Here is a 23,465-nt window from a genome sequence, read left to right on the forward strand (position 1 = left end):
TAGAAGGTAAGGAAGATAGTTTTGGATTTGGATCAAGGCCTATGCTTTTGGAAGGTAAAGCATGTGAGGAAAAGGGGAAAAATACTATGAATTAGGAAAGATTTTATTTATTTTTTAAGTCAAGAATAGATTTGCATGGTCACAATCTAAAATTAGCGTCAGATAAAGGAATCTGGCTGTTTAAACGCAGTTGTGTATAATTCAAAATGGTGGGAGGCTTGCCGCGAGACCAATGCAGTGCTGGGGAGATGCCAGCACTCATGTGCTCCTCACTGGCATTTTAGGACTTGGAGAGCTGCAGACTTCGTTTGGATCCCGAGTTGGACCGGCACAGATATGAGAGGAAGATCAGCTTTGCTGGGGTCCTGGACGAAAATGAAGACTCAAAAGATTCTCTCCACAGCAGCAGCCACACTCTCAAATCAGATGCAGGAGTCGAGGAGAAGAAAGGTATGGAAACACAAAGGTTCCTTCATGTTTCAGGGTTTCTTGTTTCTCATAGGATATTTGCACTAGGGTCTAAACTACAAAATTGTGTACCCAAATTGTTGACTTCCTACAATACTGACTGTGTAGGCTTTATGATGGAAAATCATGCTTGTTAGAAGTTGGTCTCTGCAGTCAGAGAGGCCTGGCTTCCAATTCCAGCTCAGAAACTCTCCATATTCCATTACAGCTATAAGATGAACCATTATTTGATTTACCAATAAGGAAAGAAAAATACTCCCAATTGAACTTTTACATAATGCTCTCTTATCACTTAGCTTGTCTTTTATTGGTTTTTTTTGTTTGTTTGTTGCTTTTTTATTTGTTTGCTTTTTGTGAGACAGAGTCTCACTCTGTCTCCCAGGCTGGAGTGCAGTGGCACAATCTCGGCCCACTGCAACTTCCGCCTCCCAGGTTCCAGTGATTCTCCTGCCTCAGCCTCCCTAGTAGCTGGGATTACAGGTGCCCGCCACCACGCCCGGCTAATTTTTGTATTTTTTTTCTTTTCTTAATATGCTTTTATTAAAATGTAAAACATAATAAAATGAGAAAAAATAATATTATGTTTCTCAATTATCTTAACATCAATGGCATCTATTCGCACGAAATTCTTGGGGACCATTACTTAATGTGAAACTAATTTGGTAAATAGAATCTCGTTTTAAAAACTACACCTCTGCTAAACACTTGTAGGGCTAATCTCATCAATTAATAAAGCACTAGGCTTATTTAATCATTTTTGTGAAACTATGAAGACAGAAAGAACAGCTACAGTCTTTCTGCATTGCTAAATGCACATTAAACAAGTTCCCTAACCATGGAATAGACCAGATATTAACCAGATATGAAGTTTTTATATTTGATTTTTTAAATGGGAGACTACTTTATGAGTCTTCAAGTAATATACTCAGCCTACAGGTTGCTTGTAATTTTTTCAATAGATAAGAATGACCTAGAAAAGTTATTTATGGAACCATGTTATTTAAGAAAGATAAAAGTGTTACAGCGTTTACAGAATTTCTTTTGGCCTGGCTAAGGATGTTTTCTAGACAGTGGTATTTTAAAAATAGTTCAGTATTTTCCATCTGTACATATCATTTCCATTATAATTAACTTAAATTCACCCACTTGTATGCACATACACACCTTGGCCTAATTTGGTCATTCATGTTTCTGTCCCTCTGTCCCTAGGTCTTTTTATTTTTATTTTTTATACTTTAAGCTCTGGGATACATGTGCAGAACGTGCATGTTTGTTACATAGGTATAGACGTGCTGTGGTGGTTTGCTGCACCCATCAACCTGTCATCTACATTAGGTGTTTCTCCTAATGCAATCACTCCCATAGCCCGCCACCCACGGACAGGCCCCGGTGAGTGATGTTCCCCTCCCTATGTTCATGTTTCTCATTGCTCAACTCCCACTTATGAGTGAGAACATGCAGTGTTTGTTTTCTGTTCCTGTGTTAGTTTGCTGAGAATGATGGTTTCCAGCTTCATCCATGTCCCTGCAAAGGACATGAACTCATCCTTTTTTATAGCTGCATAGTATTCCATGGTGTATATGTGCCACATTTTCTTAATTTTTGTATTGTTAGTAGAGATGAGGTTTCACCACTTTAGCAAGGCTGGTCTCAAACTCCTGACCTCAGGTGATCCACCTGCCTCGGCCTCCCAACAGGTGTGAGCCAACGTGCCCAGCTACTTGTCTTTTATTCTTATTGAAAAAGGACATTCAGACCTAATTAGAAGTAGTTTACTATTATTATTATTATATATCATTCTTGTGCAATCCTATATGTATATATATAAATAAAATTAACTGGTTAAGGTTTTTGTAAACTATCTTCAACTCAGAGTTTAAATGTCTTAATTACTTTTCAACTCACAGTTATCTAATATGTCTATGTTTCTATGTGTGATAATGTCCTCTGTGGCATCACAATGTTAGTGATGCATCATTTCTTAAATGGATTCATAAAAAAAGTAAAGTTTTTTGTGCTAATTACTTAAGCCAACTTGCACCCATATGAAGTTAGCCCACCTTTAGTCCCTCTTCAGCAATGTTGCTAAACACATCTGACTTACCCACCTCACCCACCCACCTACCCCTCACTATCACTTGATTCCTTAGGGTTAAAAGATCTTGTCACTCATTCTGTTTAACTTTTTGCTGGTGCTTTACATTTTCACACAGACAAGCAATAACAAAGGTGTCACAACTGCTACCTGGTGCAAGTGATCATAAGATGTCATCTCTTGCATGACAAATACCAATTTCCAGATATGTTAAAATGTGAACAAGTTGTGCATCTTAAAATGGGTGATATATAGTAACTCACTATGTGGCCTTGTCCAAGTTATTTACCTTCTAAGCCACAGTTCCCTTTTCTGTAAAACTGGGTTAACACCTACTGCATTGCGATGTTGAAAACTTTTAATAAGACAATGCAAGTGAAGTGTAAACTTAATACCTGGTGAATTGTAGGTACACAATAAATAGCTATTGTTGTTGGGTTTTTAAATATACATAATAAGCATCTAGATTAGAATCCACATAGAAAATCCTAATTATGAACTAAAGATTGCAAAGTTTTAAGTTGCCCTCTAGAGCCTCCTTTAAACTGCCAACTTCACTATTTGATTTTGCCATTTTAAAAATTCCATTACCTTTCCATGTTTTTCCAATGAATTTCAATTAAAAGAACATCTGCACATTTGCTAGAAGAGTCAAAAATGATTTTATGTGTTGAAGTATTTTCTAGCATCCTATAGACAATGACTCAATAAATTTTGGATAACAACAAATGAACGATTCTTAGAAGGAATAGCCCTGTATAGAGAAAACACACAATATTTAAAAGGGAATAGATATACATTGGGAAAAGTTTGAATAGTTCAAGATCAAAACGTTTTCACAACATTTTTAAAATACAGATAATCATATATCATATTCTATTGAATTTATGGCCAAAAGAGGCCATGTTGCAGGAAGGATAAGTCAAGTCTTGAGCAATTTTTGAATATGAAGAAGTATCAAATGAATATTTTTTTCAAATATTACTTACTTCAGACAATTATACTGCATATGATGAGAAGCTTCCCTCTTTTAAACATATCCCAAAGAGATTTTAATTTAGAAGGCAGTCTTTTCTTTCCTTATTCAAAGTTATTATGCTAATTATATTTAAGATAGTAGATAATTCCTAATATTACACAATTAAACTTCAGCAGAGTAAAATTTACACCATTTTATAAAATAAAATATCTGATTAATTTTAAGAACTTTAATTTGATGTGATTATTATTTATGTAAATTGGCTTTAATATTTCAACACTCAAATGCTGAATATTTTTTCTACACACAGAATGGTTATGTTAACATATGAAAGTTGTTTAATAAACAATGGAAAACTGCAGTTATAAGTTAAATGAGAATATATCCATAAAATGTCCTTAATCAGTTGACGAAAATCTTCCCAAAGATTCCTAAATATTCCTTAATCCATTTGACAAGCTGTCAGCTACTAAAGCCAATATGAAAATGAAGACAATAGAGACACTGCTAATTACAGTTTTTAAAATTTTATACCATTTGGTTTTGTAAAACCTTAAGATGCCAGTTCTTGAAATAAACACGCTGAGGACAATTCAGATTCTACCAGGAAAAATTCAAGTGAAATAATCATTTAGAATAGTAGGAGATGGGTTGGAAATGTATGCAAAGGGCAAACAGGGTCTGGTAGATGTGGTTAGAAATTTAATTTTGTTTTAAGTGCATTAGAGTTGTTGGTAGGTTTTACCAGAAATGTGATATAAGGTGTGTATTTATGATTTATGCATTTAAAAGATGACTTAATCTATGGGAGTAGAGGGAAAGGTGAAGCAGTTATGCAGTTACATTAGTCCAGGGAAAAGGGGATGGAGCTGTCAAAATCCTATGATATTTTGAAATGTACAGCCAGCAGGACTTGCTAATTGATACAAAGTGAGGTGAAAGAAAAGGCCAAAGATGTTTTATCCAATTTAGATGGATTTGTTTCACTTTTGTACTAGTTCTTGTTGTCATGGAGATAAAGGCTAAAATTCAGTGCTGCACAATCTCAACTGATGTTTTTCATGTACAATACCAAATATAAATTCTAACTGCTGTGCTCCTTGTAAATAACCAGTGCCATAATTCTGAACTGTAATTTTTCAGTGCTATAGGATATCTCCAACTATCCTTTTTGGTGGAACAAGCTCTCAAAATTAAATTTCTTTCTGATTACATTAATTTGAGTTTATTTTGCTGCATCTGTAGGCCAAAAAGTGTCATAAAATTGGGCAAAGAATATTAGCGTGTGCCTCTGTAAAAATCTAAGAATTATCTGTTTAATATTTTCTGTGCTTCCGAATCTACTTAGACATGAAATTGCACTCGTAGTCATTACAAAATTTTAATTATTTTCTGTTTCAAACATATTTCAGATAGGTGATAAAGTCTTAATTAAACATAAAAATAATATTGAAAAGTATAGTGTGTGAGTTTTGTGCTATAATTAAAATGCAGCTTTATGGTTCATAGCCTTTGTGGGATTTGTCTAACTGTGCTGCAAGAAATTCCATCCAGATGTGAAATTCTACTCAGATGTGTTCAGGGAGCTCCATGGGGCCTTTACCAGCTGCATGGTGATAATTTTAATCTTTCTCCATCACAACAGTAAATCAGAACTTTCACATTATTCAGCAGGAATTCTTCTGACCTCCTTTAAATGGCATTAAAAGTATACATTTAGCTAATGTTTTCGTTATACAAGTTCTATCACAGTCACATTAACTCTCTCATGAATGAGAAACCTGAAACTAACATGCAAACTTTCTGATTGGGAATTTTAAAATATTAATAACTGTGCCTTAAATAATTAGTAAGAAATCTTGTTCATGTCTTAAGAAGGTAAGCTTATAAAATTGGCCCCTTCCTGGTAATGGACTTTAAACCCTGAAAACTTACTTTATCCCACCTTTATAAAATCAGTGTGTGAAAACACCAAATCTTGAAAAGGAAGGAGGTGTGTATATGACTATGGAAAATAAGGATGCTGTTGATTTAAAGAAAGATAGGTTCAAGTTTAAATGCATTTCTTTTACCCGTTTATTTTCCTCACTGATTACTATTTCTTCCAGAACACTAAAGATGAATAATGCATATTCTTCTTGGTATGCATAGACTGTTTTAAGTTTGGCTCGGGGGGGTTGCACCATTTGGAATCACATCTCACCCAGCCTTTTGACTGAGAGGAGGATAGTATGAAGTCATTAAGTGCATTGAAAATGGAGCCATTTCACACTCATGCTCACCCAAAGCACCCCAGTGAAGACAGATTGTTTAGTGCCTTTTCTGAGGAGCAGAGTGGAAGCCACTGCTGACTATTGGAGAGAGAAGCACCTTTGGTTCTTATTTCTGAATGAGGTATTCCAAAATGAAGGGGTTTACGTGACAGCTTACAGAAGTCTGTAAGTCCCATTTCGAAAGGAAAGCAAAAACAAATGGTTTGTGGTTCTCTTGAATCAAGGAATCCCATGATAAAAGTGTACTAATAGTCCTAGTTGATGCTGCCCCAAAAGCACACTCATGCTAGTGAAACCTGGGCCAGAAAGAGAGCAGGTTGTTCCCAGTTCCGATGAGCTTTGTGTCCAAGAAATAAGCTGCACCAGCCCTTCCTGGTGGTTCCTGCAGGACTGGGGGCTTGGGAGAAGCTCCTTGTCCAGAGTGCTCATCCAGGCCAGCAGAGGAGGCTGATCAGGGACAAGTTGGGGAGAGATGGATATAACACTGGCTGGGGAACACTAGGGGGGAAAAAGCCCTATTTTATTCTTTTAATACAGTTCCCAGCAGGAAGATCAGGATAGGAGGTTCTCGCCTGCTCCAGATTAAAGGAACCCGCAGTTTCCAGGTGAAGAAGGGGGGTTCCTTGTCCAGCATTCGCCGGGTCGGCAGCTTAAAGAGCAGCAAGTTATCACGGCAGGACTCAGAGTCTGAGGCTGAGGAGCTGCAGCTGTCCCAGAGCAGGGACACTGTCACTGACCTAGGTAACATAGAGGAGTGGGGTGTGCAGGGACGTGGGGGGTAGGAAGACAGGGCCCAAGTCCCAAAAGAGCTGAAGTCCATTTTCTTACACATAAATAGATGGAGGGCAGAGCCATAGGATAGACAACCTGTTCAGCCTGAAAACCATACTACCCTTGGTAGAGCAAGGCAGCTCAAGCCTTGATGTGCATATGGGTCACTGGAGAGGCTTGTTAAAATGCAGATTCTGATTCAGCAGATCTGGGGTGGGGATCTGAGATTCTACATGTTTAACAAGCTTTCTGGTGGAGCCGATGCTGCTGATTTCAAGGACGACACTTTGAGCAGCAAGGATGTGGAGTATTCATTAGGGAAAGAAAACACTTTAATGAAAAGGACAGTCTTTGAAATTCCGATGCTTGTGTATTCATTCTTTTGATCAGAACATTCAATGTCAAATGTAATTCCCTTGGGGAGGACTACCTAAAGATTCTCTATATTTTAAAGTCTCTATTTACCAGTATGAACAACCAAAATCTCAGAGAGTAAAGATTGTCTAGACCTGACAATGAGTGATCTTCAACAAGTCATTTAGGTTCTCAGGGATTTGTTTTCTCTGACTACACAGTGAGAATAATTCTTGCCTACAATGCAAGGATGCTCTAAAGATAAATTAGAAGATGACCATACAATGTGTTAAACACCTGAGAATGAAATCAGTGTACAGTCAAAGCATGAGAGTTATAGATTGTCATTGTAGGCTCTAAAGAGATTTCAAATACCAAAATATGGCAGTCCAAAATATGGGCCCTAATTAGTATCTTAATAGACAAGCAAAAGATTAAGTAGGCATGAAAGTAGAACTCACCAGCTGCCTAACATTAAATATTAGGTAAAAGTTGAAGCACATTCACTTTGCCATTCAGTCTCTGTATGCAAGGCAAAATAGAAAGCTCTCCTTACTAGGTAAGTAGTTTCAAAAGTCAGCAAGAAGTGTGGATAAATTATCGATCAAGTCTGCTGAAATAAAAGCTGAGTATATTTAATCAAAGAAGGTTTAAAATAGAAAATGCTTCTGTATCCACCCACCCTCGCCTTTGAAAATAGCTGATTTATGCATTACTTAAGATTCAGCTTATTTCTTAAGGAGACTTTTTTTTAAAGTATATATGACTTCTTTTTTTACAAGTCTGAAGCTAGAGCATTATCATCAGTTAATTTGGGGAAAAATTATTGCAATTAATTATTTAAATTGATCGATTTATCCTGACCAATTGAGTCAAAATAGCCAGGTTGAAAACATTGTTTTGTCATTAAAAAGATCTATAAAAGATTTTAGATTTGAGGGGAAAGCTTTGTTGTGTAGTCTACCAAGTAGGGAATTCTTGAGAGATATTTCCTTTATACTTTCACACAGAGAGGAGTTTGGACACAAGGGCTGTCCACAGTTGGACATAATTGCTTCCAAATTTCCTTAGGTTTTCAGAGGTACCTGCCCATCTTTGAAATAGCTCTGGTAGCAAAGCCTGGTGGCTAGAGCAATAGCACTAGCTGCAGTCACAGAACAGTGGAGGCAGCAGTCACTGTGAGGCAGGTTAGTTGCTGTCCCTCCTTAAATACACCTGCAAGGTCTGGTCAGTCTGGAATGGATTTGGGCGCACTCAATCAATAACTGGCTCATCTCAGCAATTCAAGGACTTGACTCTGTTTTTTTTTCTCTGCTCCCATCTCTCAAAATGGAAGCCACCATAACAGAGATCATAAATGTCTTTGAAATTGCCAGTTCAGCTGGTGGTGAAGGGGACAGCTCCTGTTAATATTCCTCCAACAAAGTCAATGCTATGCCCTGTAACCCACTGGGCCATGGTAGTCTGCCCTAGGATTCAGAAGCATGGACAACTGTACCATACCAACATGCTCTCCAGGGAGACCGAACACTGAAACCTTTCTTGGTATTTTTCTTTTGAAGAAGGGAGTCCTTGGAGTGCAAGCGAGCCCAGCATTGAGCCAGAGGGAATGAGTAATGCCGGCGCGGAGGAGAATTACCACAGAAACATGTCGTGGCTTCATGTAAGTAGGAATCTCAGAAACAGCCCTGAGATCAATTTCTTTTGGCACTGGGGAAGATCCAAGGAGGGAGGACAAGAGATTATACTAAATCATCAATCCGATCTAGCCTCCAAGAGAAAGCAGGGGCTTATGTTTTACCTGAATATCTCAACACTCTCTAGAATTGGTATTCTGCTGGATTGTACTCATCTTAAGCTTAACTAAGACCAAGTTTTTTTGGTTATGGCTGGCTTGCAGGTCACCATAAATCAGGGAAAATCATGAGGCCAGGTTGGTGGTCAAGATAACCTGAGTGACACAGCGTAGGTATCACCATCAGTTTTAAACAGGTTACTGCGAATTTTGAGAGCACGGTCATGGTGTTGCTCTTGGGTGTGTATTAGATCAAATTTTAAACTGGGGCAAGGACACTCTAAGATGGTGAATGTCGTATGTCCGAGGGTGAGCCAGAGGGCACAGGCAGGAGGTGATCCCAGGGAAACTCTGGGCACGGGGTGGAGTCCAAGACTTGAGCTGAGCATGAAGAAAGAAGTAAGGAGAAAGGTAAGGGAATGTAACCTCAGTTGTACAAGTGGCAGGGTATCCCCAGGACCATCACGGGGGTCACCATTCACCCTGATTTTAATCTGACTTCCTGGAAAAGTCAGATGAGCACTAGCTGGTGCATAATGGTCCTCGGATATATGGTGGCTCACCTTCACTATGGAAGCAGTCACCAGAACTGACTGATTTGAGAATCTCTGAGGCAGCTGTTTTTTTAAGGTAAACTTTTTAGTGAACTCTAACCTACCCACTGAAAAGCATACTAAACCTATGTATACAGCTCAATACATTTTTATGAAGTAAATACACCTGTGTAACCACTGCCAGGTTGAGAAAACATTATCAACACCTAAGAAATCCTACGCAGGTCCTCTACCAGACGCTACTCTTCCCTGACGGTAACCACTGTTCTACCTTCTAACACCATAGATTCATTTTGTCTGTTTTTGAAATGCATGTAATTGGCATCATATACTACTACTCTGTTGTGTCTGGTTCCTTTTCCTCATATAAATGTAGGTCCTCCAATTTTGTTGTTCTTCTCCTTCACAATGGCCTGGTCTACTCTTGGCTAGACTCACATCCATTTAGAATCACCCTGACGATTTTAATTAATTTAAAAAAAAACTTCCAAAGCAGCCTTGAGTGTAATACATAGATGAATTTAAATGAATCATATCTTTATGATATTGAATCTTCCAATGTTTAAAATGGTCGCTCCACTAATGTCTGTTTCTCCATTTATTAGAGCTTCTTTAAATGTCTTTCAATAATGCCTTTTAGTTTTCTGTGTAGTGTTCCATAAATAAACACCTCTGCAAGCATTGTGTAAGAACAGTGCTATTTCTTCTTTAAATATTTGGAAGAAATCACTGGCCACGCCTTTTAAACCTAAAAATTTCTTTATGGGAGAGTTTTAAATTACAGATTCAGTTTATGTAATACAGCTAAGACCATTTAGATTTTATATTTCTTCTGGGAGTAATTCAGGTAAACTGATATTTTTTGCTAAGATTTTTTCATTTAATATCAATATTCAAATTTATCAGCAAAAAGATTGTTTATAATATTCTGTTAAGATCATTTTAAATTCTGTAGGATCTACAGTGATTTACATTTATTGTTTTTGATATTGGTGGATTGTCTTCTCTTCTTTTTTAAATAGTGTCTTTCTAAGAGTTTTTCAATTTTGTCTTTTAAAAGACCCAGAACCAGATTTTCATTTTGTCATTTTTAGAATGTTGAATTTTTGTTTTACTAATATTTTCTATTATCTTTATTACTTTCTTCTACTTTTTTTGAGTTTAATTTGTTTTTGTTTTTTTCTTAACTTCTTGACACGGATACTCAGATGATTGATTTGCAACCACTTTGCTAACATGAATTTAAAGCTATAAATATTATCTAGAAGCAGTTTTAGCTGCATCATGCAAGGTTGGATATATGTTCATATCATTCAGTTAAAATATTTTAAAATTTCCATTGTGATGTATTCATAATTGATCACAGATTTTTTAAAAAAAATTATTTTTAATTTTTGGGGGTACATAGTGTGTATATTTGTGGGGTACATGAGGTGTTTTGATACAGGCATGTAATATGAAATAATCACATCAAGAAGAATGGTGTATCCATCTCCTCAAGCATTTATCGTTTGTGTTACAGACAATCCAATTACATTCTTTTAGTTATTTTTAAATGTACAGTTATTATTGACTATAGTCACCCTATTGTGCTATCAAATAGTAAGTCTTACTCATTCTATTTTTTTGTATTCATTAACTTTCCCCACCTCTCCCTCAACCCCCTACTACCCTTGCCAGCCTCTGGTAACCATCTTTCTAACTCTCTATGTCCATGAGTTCAATTGTTTTGATTTTTAGATCATCCCACAAGTAAGTGAGAACATGTGATGTTTGTCTTTCTGTGGCTGGCTTATTTCACTTAACATAATGATCTCCAGTTCTATCCATGTTGTTGCAAATGACAGGATCTCATTCTTCTTTATGGCTGAGTAGTACTCTATTGTGTATATGTACCACATTTTCTTTGTTCATTCGTCTGTTGATGGACATTTAGGTTGCTTCCAAATATTAGTTATTGTGAACAGTGCCACAACAAACATGGGAGTGCAGATATCATGATCAAGTCCACAGCTGATAACTTCAATATATGAATCTATTTTCTTTACTCTTCTTGGTCCTGCTCCTAAAATGCCTTGTAATTATATTGACTAAACATGGTGTATAAAAAAAATTATAGAGGTGCAGTGGTAGATACATGTCATTATACATTTGTTAAAATTCACAGAATGTACAAAGCAAAGCGTGGACCCTAATGTAAACTGTTGACTTTGGGTGATAATGGTGTGTCAATATAAGTTCATTGATTGTAATAAGTGTACCACTCTGAGGCAAGGTGTTGATAGTAGGAGAGGTTGTCATGTATGCAGACAGTGTATATGTGGGAATTATCTGTACTTTCTGCTCAATTGTAATGTGAAGCCAAAACTGCTCTAAAACATAAAGTTTATTAATTTAAAAAAAAGCACCGGGGCTCTAGTTGATGTTTTCTCTTTCCAGAGAGGATTCACCCTGTCCTCTGGCAGACAACAAAGAAGCAGATCACCTCAGTCCAGTCAGGGACTATACTAGCTGGACTTGGACTATTTCTAGCCTGTCCTTCCACACCCTCTACACACACCTTTTAATATGAAGATGTCCAAGACTCCCAGTGAGAGTCTGGGGTATGTCACAGGGCCTCTCATTCTTGATGAGTCAGGAACTACAATTTGTGTTTCCCCATCACAATGAAATTTCCAAAGTCTCTACTCTGTTTGTCAGCTGGTCTTTGCTTCTCTTCTTAGCTACTCAATCAGCCAATGCCTAGAAGGGAAAACTGTCATCCAGTGTCAGTCGGACTTATTTGGACCTCATTTCTCTACAGGGACTAGACTATTCAGTTTCTCCCTTCTTTGGTAATTCCAAATTCTAATTTTTACCTCCTAGCCCCCATGAGATTGCCTAAGGCTCTGCCTAGCTTCTTGGCCAGTTATGCCTAAGATGTAGCAAATGTCTCAAGGAGAAATGTGATGTGTCCTCACATTGTCCTCACCTCAGCGAATATCCTTTCTCTCCACATCATACCCTTCATCCTGACTGCCTCACTGTCTTATGCATTCAAATATGTATATTTATGTATCATGTCTGTGTGTATACAGGCATACCTCATTTTATTGTACTTTACTCTACTGTGCTTTGGAGATATCGCATTTTTTACAGACTATAGGTTTGTGGCAACCCTGCATTGAGCAAGTCTGTTGGTGCTGTTTTTCTAATAGCATGTGCTTACTTTGTGTCTCTGTGGCACATTTTGGTAGTTTTCACAATATTTCAGGCTTTTTCATGATTGTCGTTTTTTATGGTGATCTGTGATCAGTGATCCTTGATGATATTATTGTCGTTGTTTTGGGACACCATGAACCACACCCATATTGATGTTGAACTTAATCAATAAATGTGTGTGTTCTCATTGCTCCATGGACCAGCTGCTTCTTGTGTCTCTCCCTCTTCTAGGGCCTCCCTATTCCCTGAGACACAGCAATATTGAAATTAGGCTGATTAATAACCCTACAATGGCCTGTAAGTGTTCAAGTGAAGGAAGAGTTGTGTGTCTCTCACTTTAAATCAAATGCCATAAATGATTAAGCTTAGTGAAGAAGATATGTTGAAAGCCAAGATGCACTGAAAGTTAGGCCTCTTGTACCAAAAAGCCAAGTTGTGATTTCAAAGGAAAAGTTCTTGAAGGAAATCAAAAGTGCTACTCCAGTGAACACACAAACAATAAGAAAGTGAAACAGTGTAATTGCCGATATGGAGAAAGTTTTAGTGGTCTGGACAGAAGATCAAACCAGCCACAATATTCTCTTAAACCCAAAGCCCAATTCAGAGACTAGGTTTTAACTCTTTTCAGTTCTGTGAGGGCTGAGAAAGGGGAAGAAGCTGTATAAGAAAAGTCTGAAGTTAGCAGAGGTTGCTTCATGAGGTTGAAAGAAAGAAGCCATCTCCATAACATAAAAGTGCAAGGTGAAGCAGCAAGTACTGATGTAGAAGTTGCAGCAAGTTATCCAGAAGATCTAGCCAGGATCATTGATGTAGGTGGCTATACTATAAAATGATTTTTAATGTAGAAGAGCCTTTTGTTAGAAGAAAATGCCATCTGGGACTTTCGTAGCTAGAGAGAAGTCAATACCTGGCTTCAAAACTTAAAAGAACAGGCTGATTCTCTTGTTAGGGGTTAATGCATCTGGCAGCTTGAAGTTTCAGTCAGTGCTCATTTGCCATTCTGAAATTCTAGAGCCCTTAAGAATTATGCTAAATTTACTCTTCCTGAGCTCTATAAATGGAAAAATAAAGCCCGGATGACAGCCCATCTGTTTCACAGCATGGTTTCCTGAGTATGTTAAGTCCACTGTTGAGATCTACTGTTCAGGAAAAAAAACAAAAAAAAATTTCTTTCAATAGATTGCTGCTTATTGACAATGTGGCTGGTCACTCAAGAGCTCTGATGGAAGTGTGCAAGAAGATTAATGTTGCTTTCATGCCTGCTAATGCAGCATCCATTCTGGAGCCCACAGATCAAGGTGTATTTTGACTTTCAAGTCTTATGATTTAAGAAGTTCATTTTGTGGCCAGGTGTGGTGGTTCACACCTGTAATCCCAGCACTTTGGGAGGCCGAGACAGGCGGATCACGAGGTCAGGAGATCAAGACCATCCTGGCTAACACGGTGAAACCCCGTCTCTACTAAAAATACAAAATAAAATTAGCCGGGCGTGGTGACGGGCACCTGTAGTCCCAGATACTCGAGAGGCCGAGGCAGGAGAATGGCATGAACCCGGGAGGCGAAGCTTGCAGTGAGCCGAGATCGCGCCACTGCACTCCAGCCTGGGCAACACAGCAAGACTCTGTCTCAAAAAAAAAAAAAAGTACATTTTGCAGGGGTATAGCTGCCACCACAGACAGTTATAGGGATTCCTGTGATGGATCTTGGCAAAGTAAATTGAAAGCTTCTGGAAATGACTCACCATTCTAGATGTCATTAAGAACATTTGTGATTCATAAGAGGAGATCAAATATCAACATTAACAGGAGTTTGGAAGTAGTTGATGCCAACCCTAATGGAAGACTTTGAGGAATTCAAGACTTCAGTGGAGGAAGTAACTGCAGATAAGGTGGAACTAGCAAGAGAACTAGAATTAGAAGTGGAGCCTGAAGATGTGACTAAATTGCTGCAATCTTATGATAAAACTTGAGTGGGTGAGGAAGTACCTCTATGGATGAGCAAAGAAAGTAATTTCTTGAGATGGAATCTACTTCTGGTAAGGATGTTATGAACATTATTGCAATGACAACAGATAATTTAGAATATTACATAAACTAAGTTGATAAGGCAGCAGCAGGGTTGTTGAGGGTTGATCGCAATTTTGAAAGAAGTTCTACTGTGAGTAAAATGCTATCAAACAGTATCACATGCTAGAGAAAAACCTTTCATGAAAAGAACAGTCAATTAATGGGCCAAACTTCTTCATTGTCTAATTTAAGAAATTGCCACAGCCACCCCAACCTTCAGCAACCACTTCTCTCTCTCATCAGTCAGCAGCCCTCAATATCAAGACCCTCCACCAGCAAAATAAAAATTATAACTTGCCAAAGGCTCAGGTGATTGTTAGCATATTTTAGCAATAAAGCATTTTTAATTAAGGTATGTACATTGGTTTTTTAGACATGATGTTATTGCACACCTAATAGACTATGGTATAGTGTAAACATGATTTTTATATGCACTGGGAAATAGAAAGATTGTGTGACTCACTTAAATGCAACATTTGCTTTATTTTGGTGGTCTGGAACTGAACTCTCAATATCTCCAAGGTATGCCTGTATACACGTGTGTGTGTGTGTGTGTGTGTGTGTGTGTGTGTGTGTGTACAGTCATCCCTTGGTATCCATGGGGATTGGTTCCAGGGCCTCCCATGAATACCAGGATACACAGATGAGCAAGCCCCTGGTATAAAATGGTATAGTATTTGCATATAAACTATGCACATCCTCCCACATACTCCAAATCATTTCCAGATTACTTATAATACCTAATACAATGTAAATTCCATATAAGTAGTTATTATACTGTATTGATAATGATTCCCAAAAATGTCTGTGCATTTTAGTAAAAACAAAATTTTGGGGGGATATTTTGGAATATTTTTGATCTGCAGTTGGTTGAATCCACGGATACAGAAACCATGGATATGGAGAGCTGACTTATGTGTGTGTGTGTATATACAATATATATATTATATTATATGTGTGTGTGTGTGTGTGTGTGTGTGTGTGTGGACAGTGTGGACTCCCTGCAGGAAATTGTGTATATATATTTATATATATATTATATATATACACATTATATATATTTATATATATACACATTATATATATTTATATATACATTATATATATAGTATATATGTAATATATATATTATATATAGTATATATGTAATATATATACTATATATATTATATATAGTATATATGTAATATATATATACTATATATATAGTATATATGTAATATATATATACTATATATATAGTATATATGTAATATATATATACTATATATATAGTATATATGTAATATATATATACTATATATACACACATGGTTAGAGGGGGAATGTATTAATTTTCTAGTGCTGCATACAAATTACCACAAATTTAGTGGCTTAAAACAATACACATTTATTAGCTTATAGTCTTTATGGGTCAGGAATTCTGGCACAGCTTAGCTAGGTCCTCTGCTTTAGGATCTCCCACATGGCTGCAATCAACATATTGGCCTTGCCCACATCATCTTGCTTTGTGCTCTCTTTGTGTTCAATATGGAACACAGTCCCTCACCGGTTAGTTGTTAAGGTGGGAACTATTATAGTTTCATGAAGGATGGAAGCATTCAGAAGATACTCTACACACTATTGACTGACCTTGTGGCTCTGCATATGCTATTGCCTTTTAAGAAAAGCTCCTTAAGAAGTTCCAAATGCAAGGGCCTTTATTCCTTATCTTAAAATAACCATATCCTTTAAATCAAATGAATTCCCTTCTGTAATTTTAATGGGAGAATTATAGGAGATGTGAGGATTTGATTTTGATTTAGCTACAAGAGAAGAGCTAGGATGTTCTAAAAGCCAGAGGAAAAATATCACTTTGCAGAGAGTGGAAATGAAACTGTACAGTAAGGTTCAAGTTCTAGTTGAAGATGATTGGCCAGAGGAGAAGAAGTGGAAATGTTTTCAAGTCCCACATGGGTGGGCTGGCATTAAAGGTGTCCCACAGCTGTCAAAGGTCAGCCAGATCCTCTGGGACAGAATTTCTCACCAGTCTATGCCCTTTCATATGGTTCCTTCCCCAATATAAGAGCTGGAAAAAAATTTAGTTTTAAGTTCAGAATCTCCATTTGAGAATATTTGGAAACCATACACTCCACAATAATTGTTTTAAGTTTTTGAAGACCTGTTAACCTTTTAATGTTTCAAAGAGATCCTTCTATCAAGTATGAATGGGGGGAGAACAAAAGGCCATGTGGATAAAGAACCCTTTGTCCTCCTTTGGGAATTATTGGACCATTGCGATTTCAAGACACATCCAGGGAAGCTGACATTCTGACTTCCCATCTTCCACCCCATAGATATGTTCAGTTTATCTGTACCCTGGTTGCCTGGCTGAGTCTCAGGAATGTTTGTATTCCAGGTGATGATCTTGCTGTGCAATCAGCAGAGTTTCATCTGCACTCACGTTGACTACTGCCATCCCCACTGCTACCTGCACCACAGCCGCTCCTGTGCCCGACTGGTCAGAGCCATCAAGCTACTCTATGGAGACAGTGTGGACTCCCTGAGGGAAAGCAGCAACATCAGCAGTGTGGCTCTCCGGGGCAAGAAACAGAAAGAAGTAAGTAAATGACCATTGAATGATATTCTAATACTAGAAACATGATGTCATAACAATTTCTTCTCTGGAAATAAGAATTTTCAAGCAAATGCAATTGTAACAATCAGGTCTGTGTGCATCTAAACATAAGCAGAAGAGATGTACAAGAAAGACAAATGTTTTGTCTTTCTTGTCCATGAGTAAACATGGAATCTTTCCTCAGGTTTTGTCTTATTCTGTAAATAAATATGACTGCATAGGGATGATGACGATGACGAATAAGTTATTGTGTTAGGCAGAATAATGCCTCTCCCACAAAGACATTCACATCCTAATCTCTGGAAATTGTGAATATCTTCACATGGCAGAAGAGGTTTTGCAGATGTGATTGAAAATTTTACAGTGGGCATCCAGCTGTGCTTGATGTCATCATAAGGGTCCTTATAAGTGGAAAAAGGAGTCAGGAGGGTCAGAGCCAGAGAAGGAAATGTCTTGAGAAAAGCAGAGGTCAGTATGATGCGGGGCCATGAGCCAAGGAATACTGGCAGCCTCTAGAAGCTAGATAAGACAAGGAAATGGATTATCTCCTAGAGCCTTCAGAAGCAACCACAGCCCCGCCAATCCGTTTTAGATTTCTGACCTCCAGAATTGTAAAATAATAAATTTGTGTCATTTTAAGCTATGAAGGTTGTGGTCACTTGTTACAGCAGCAACAGGAAACTAATACAACTATGTACTAAAAAATATGCATAAATAGGCCCACTGTTCACAGCCAAGTAAAAGAGTCATCTAGGTCAAATCAGACTAAAGGAAATTGCTTCAAGCAACTATTACATTTTTCAAGTATTCAGCTGCCCTCTTCTGAAAACTACCCTGAGCAGCTGAGCTGGCAGGAGATGAAGACAGTGACCAGGGCTGCTGTGCTTCTGCCAGGGAAGGCCTAAATTTTCCACCTGCCCCTGAACAGGCGTCACAGCCAAGATGCCTGACTGAATGTTGTGGCTGCCCCTGCAGCTGCTTTTCCTAAGTGGTTTTGCAAAGAGATTTTTATATAACACCTATTCATTTCAACGGGCATTTATTATGTGTCCTCTGTTGGCACAATATTAGGCTAGATATTCTGTTAAGGAAAAAAAAACTAGAAGCAGAAAATCTTTCTAAGGAATTTGCAAACCAGGTTTGGCCTGGGGAGGGGGTAAGAGATAATATGTACATCAAACAATGAGAGAACATGAGCAATAACAACAAAAATCCAGTTGAGTCGTGTAGCAATTTGTTATACCTTAGTGCTCACAAAGGGATTTTTTTAATTACAACTTTTTTATTATGAAAGCAATACATGTTCATTGAAGAAATTTTTAATAATACAAAATATTCTTTAAAAATTATATATCTGATGTACCTCTTAAGTGTGCAAGTTCATCCTATGGGGTATGATCTTTTAGTTTTTTTCTAAATGTATGTGTGAGGGTATAAAGTAAGTACATTTCATTGACAAGTGCCTTTTGATTCTTAAAAACCATTGCAAGAGTTATTTTATCCCCATTTTACAGGTTTTTCAACTGTGGGGGCTCAGAAAGTTGAGATTATCCACACTTTATATCTATAATGTATTTAGCTAGACTTTAACCTTAGAAATATGGAACATCAGAGTCAGGGCTTTTTAAACTAGACTGTTTTGCATTTCATGTTATGCAAATAATACAAATTCTGAGGGGAATGAAGGTGGAGAATAGACCAATGTGGGGTACAAATAAACTACTAAATAATGACATAAAAAGAAAAAAAGTAAATACGTTTGTGTGTGCATACATGTATATGTATATACATTGTATATATATTTCAAACATAAATGACACTGCATTTAAAGAAAATCTATTTTTATTTATGTAAATTCTTTCTTACTATAAAAACTCCCTTAGCTTTAGGTTAAAACCATATATGTTGAAAGTTTCAAAAATATGTGAGCCTAAATTATTGATCATTGTTCTCCATACACACTTCAGAATTTCTTACTGCTATATTTTTTGCTGGCACTAGGCCTCTAATCTAACATAGCCCAACCCAAACATTCTTTAAGATCCAACTTAAATGCCATCTCCTCCATGAAACTTTTTTGATTCTTCAAGTGTTAAGCACAGGGCCTACTGCAGATGGACACTAAATGTTATTTTCCTTACTTCCTTCTTCAACTAAATTATAATTGTATTTTACTCATGTTTTCTCATTCTTCTTTCAATTATCCATCCATCCATCCAGCCAGCCAGCCGTTCATCTATTCAACAGGCTTTTAAAGAACCTGTGGACCATGCTGAGCCCATACTTTGCGCTGGGTACAATAATGGGCAAAAAAAAAAAAAAAAAAAATACAGTTTGTACCCCCATATACTGCACATAATCTAGTCCAAGACAGACATTGATCAAATAAAACTCCCAAATTGATGTAAAATTACATCTGCAATAAGTGAAATAATGGAGAGCTACACCGTGCTAAGAGAGCTTATGAATGAGGCTTTGGTCTTGTAGGGGAAAATAAAAGACAGCCTTTCCAATAAAGTGACAGGTGAGCTTTAACTAAAGGATGCATAGATGTTAATTGGATACAGATTTGCCAACCAGCGAGAAGAGGTGAGTATGAAGGGCCATGGCTGGAGCACAGAGGACTGTGATGCATGATGAAGCTGCACAGGCGGCTCGAGACCAGACCATGTGGGACCATGGGAAGGCTTTCATTTTATCCTGCGAGCAGTGGCATGTTCTTACACTTAATTATAAGCTTTTTGAGAACTGAGGAAGTCTTTCACATTTTGTATCCTGCATGATAACCTAACAGAGTACTCACTTATGTAATAGTAGAGCAGTTATTAATATTAAGTGAGTGAGTAGAGCTGTAGTCCTAGGGTGTTTCATGAGTGCCCTCCACTCTGCCTCAACCAGGCCCCTGGCCTGAAGCAGTAGAAAAAGCTTACCAACCTTCTGCTATTGCTTACATTTCTGAAAAGGAAAGGGAAAGTAAAGCATGAATAAGTGCTTCTAACTTTAACATATTGTAATTAGTCATTCAGGTAGAGAGCTAAAAAGATGAATTGACTCCTCTGTGATAAACATTTTATTTGCAAAATGCTAGCCTCCTCCACAAGCTCTTTGCTTTCTCTCATGATACTTTTCATTTGCCTGTTGTGAATCTGCCAGATAAATGAACAGTGCCCACATTTCCAGATGAAAAATGAAAACAGAGTGGGCAATGAAGCAAGAGTAAAAGCAGTATTCTGAATAAAATCGTGTCTTATGAGCAATTGATATTTCATTCCTGTTTTCTTTTTAATTGGTTTTTTATGGCAGAGTATATTTGTGGCAGCTAGTACATTTTGTAACCCATCTAATTCTGATCAATTTGCTAATCTACATTTCAATGCTGAGGGACTCACTGTACAATCTGTTAGTCTATTTTAGTGTACTTCCAAAATTGAGGGTTTTTAAAAAACAAAATGTCATTCTACATGTATATATCACCTTTACCAAAGAATTCTGAGATTTTTCCTCTATGTCTGTACTTTGTCCAAAGCTATGTTATAAATAGGATAAATGTTTAATTAATGCTTGTTAATTTAAAAAAGGAGCAGATTAAATTCTTTCCTCTTTCAACCAAAAAGGAGAGAGGAACAAATTGTGATACATGCTCAAAAAAATAAAGGACACAGTGTGGGTAAATTCCATAAAGCAAATTCCAGTGCAAATGTCAAGAGGTCAACTGACTTCCTGCAGAACCAACATTTTTCCTAAAGCTATCTATGAGCAACATTATTGTAAGGCCAAGACCAGGCCCTGGATCTTAATTTCATGGGCCAGGATGACTGTCCACTATAACTTACATAATTCATGTGTTAAAGCCGTATGAGGCATAAAGAGTCTAGGTTACCTTTTGAGAAATACTGCATTTCTGTTGGCATAAACTTCTTCCCAGAAACGAGGAAATCCCTTTCTCAGAGAGCCCAGTAGGCTGACTTCAATTTCCACAAATTTTAAACACCTTATTACAGTGTTACAATTCTTTTAGAATTAAAAAAAGAAGAAGAAATATATAAATACCTTGTTATTTCCACACTGAGTCCTCCTTCATGCATGCATTTCCTTTTCTATTTATCTTGACTTTTCATTTGTTTACTTGTTTGTCATCTGTCTTTCCTACACTTCTCTAGGAGTGCAGGCACCTACTCCAGAAGTTAGTCTAGTTTCTGGCATATGGTTAACTCAAAAAATATTCTTGAATTATTCAATGAATAGGCAAAATTTTATTTAAAACCATTATTATTCCTCTCTAGTCAATAATTTTTGTTGTAAGGAACAGAAGATTGAACTTGTTCAAACAATTAGGGAGATTCTTCAAAGGATACAGTAGAATCTCATGAAACTAGGGACAGGAAAAGAAACAGCTAAGCCTCAGGGAAATGAGAACCAAAGCTGCTGTCCATTTCAGGATGAACATAGTCTTTCATCTCTGCTTCTTTCCGCATCATCTCCATCTGCACAGACATTTTATCCCCTGGCCAGCTCCTATTGCTGTACTCATCTTGTACATAGACTGAAAATTTCAAGATGGCATCATTATTTTTCTGCACAGCAACCATCACTAAATGATTCAGACTGTTTCTCTTAATTCCCTAGGACAGGAATTTGAGGGGGCCATCTCTTCCTCTTTTGGGCCAAACACCACAAGTGATAAATCCTTAGCCAGTCAAAAAATTGGTTTTGCATTGGTAATCTAATCAAAAGTGGTCAGGATGCCGAGAGGAGTCACAGAGTCAACTAGGATGGATTTTTCTAAGACATATACATAGGAAAAAATGTCATTGGTCCAAGTTCTACCCTATCCCATAGCAGGGATTCCCAAGTATCCCTGACAGAGCATGAGGCTGCATAACTGCCTCCCATTGAACACAGCTCCCTCTGGTAGAACCACCTCAACAATGACTGAGTAGAGGAATTAATCACTAATTTATCAATACCAAAGGACAGAATTTATCCCTAATCTCTATTTATCACTAATAGAGGCATCTACTAGTGGTCCTTTGAAGAGTTTGAATTTCACTGAACTGCAAGATACACATAGTGGTTGAAATTACACATCAAGCAGGGAACTGTAGAGAAACTCAAGACTAGTAACCCAAGACCAAAGGACAGAATTTATCACTCTTGTTTCCAGAATTTATCACTATTCTGTCCTTTGGTCTTGGGTTGCTAATCTTGAGTTTCTCTACAGATCCCTGCTTGATGTGTCATTTCAACCACTAGGTGCATCTTGTAGTCCAGTGAAATCTCTAACTCTTCAAAGGACCACTAGTAGATGCCTTTGGAACTAGTCTCCTGCTCCTTCCAGTAGTCTGAGTTAGGAGTCACACCAATAGAGGGACTTTAAGACCTTTACAAGAGTGTACCCAAACCCATCACACATATACCCCCATCTCTGTGATATCTATCTTCTAATCAAGTCATTAAAAAAGAGTTACTAGCTTATCACCTTGATGTGAAAGCCCTTGCAGCTTCCTTCCTTTTCCACTAAAACAAGCACCCTAAGTGTCATGAGGCCACCAGAACACACCATGCTTCCTAAGGTAACATGGTAGGATATTAAATATTTGAGGAACTTGACTTATACTTTGGTAGGCAGAAACACAGGGTATCAGGGACAAATATAAATGCTCATCTTTTTTTTTTTTTTTTTTTTTGGTGTGCTGAGTATTTTCCTGTATCTGCCTGGTTAAAATTCCTGTAATTTAATCAAGAAATATTATTCAAAAGAATTCCTGGAGAAAAAATGTCCAACCAAAAGAGAAAGTGGTAAAATATTTGCAAAATTTAAGAATCATATTTTCAAATAATTGTAATGGAAAAATACTCTTTATAAAATCATAGTAAAATGAATCATTTAAAATTGTGTGCCACACATAGCATCATCACAGTTGTGCTAAGATGCATGGGGGAAAAGGCTGAAAGGAACCTAATAATGGCTATCATTGGGTTGGGGATTGTATTAGTCTGTTCTCATGCTGCTATAAAGAAATACCCTAGACTGGGTAATTTATAAAGGAAAGAGGCTTAATTAACTCACAGTTCCTCAAGGCTAGTAAGGCCTTGGGAAACTTACAATCATGGTGGAAGGCAGCCCTTCACAGGGCGGCAGGAGAGAGAATGAGTGCAAGCAGGGGTACATTTATTATTTTATAAATATAAATAATAAAACAGAGAGGTGCCAGTTTTTAGTATCTTGACTCTTTTGCAAGGGTCAGATACACCTCCATATTAATGTGGAAAACTATTGCTATATATGATT

The 23,465-nt window shown here is 37.3% G+C and overlaps 1 protein-coding gene across 3 annotated transcripts in view; it reads left to right on the top strand.

Annotated features, from left to right (window-relative positions):
* Positions 1 to 23,465, top strand: part of UNC80 (unc-80 subunit of NALCN channel complex) — a 227,465-nt gene that overhangs the window by 115,979 nt on the left and 88,021 nt on the right. For 2 of the 3 annotated variants that reach the window (NM_032504.2, NM_182587.4), the window contains exons 26-28: positions 285 to 450; positions 8,503 to 8,603; positions 16,955 to 17,155. In NM_032504.2, the coding sequence (NP_115893.1) occupies positions 285 to 450; positions 8,503 to 8,603; positions 16,955 to 17,155 (468 nt within the window). Of the gene's footprint in view, positions 1 to 284; positions 451 to 6,352; positions 6,557 to 8,502; positions 8,604 to 16,954; positions 17,156 to 23,465 lie in introns of all 3 variants that reach the window. The other variant, NM_001371986.1, reaches the window with a different exon arrangement.

This window comes from Homo sapiens, chromosome 2 (assembly GCF_000001405.40).
Source record: "Homo sapiens chromosome 2, GRCh38.p14 Primary Assembly".
NCBI classification, from domain to species: domain Eukaryota; kingdom Metazoa; phylum Chordata; class Mammalia; order Primates; family Hominidae; genus Homo; species Homo sapiens.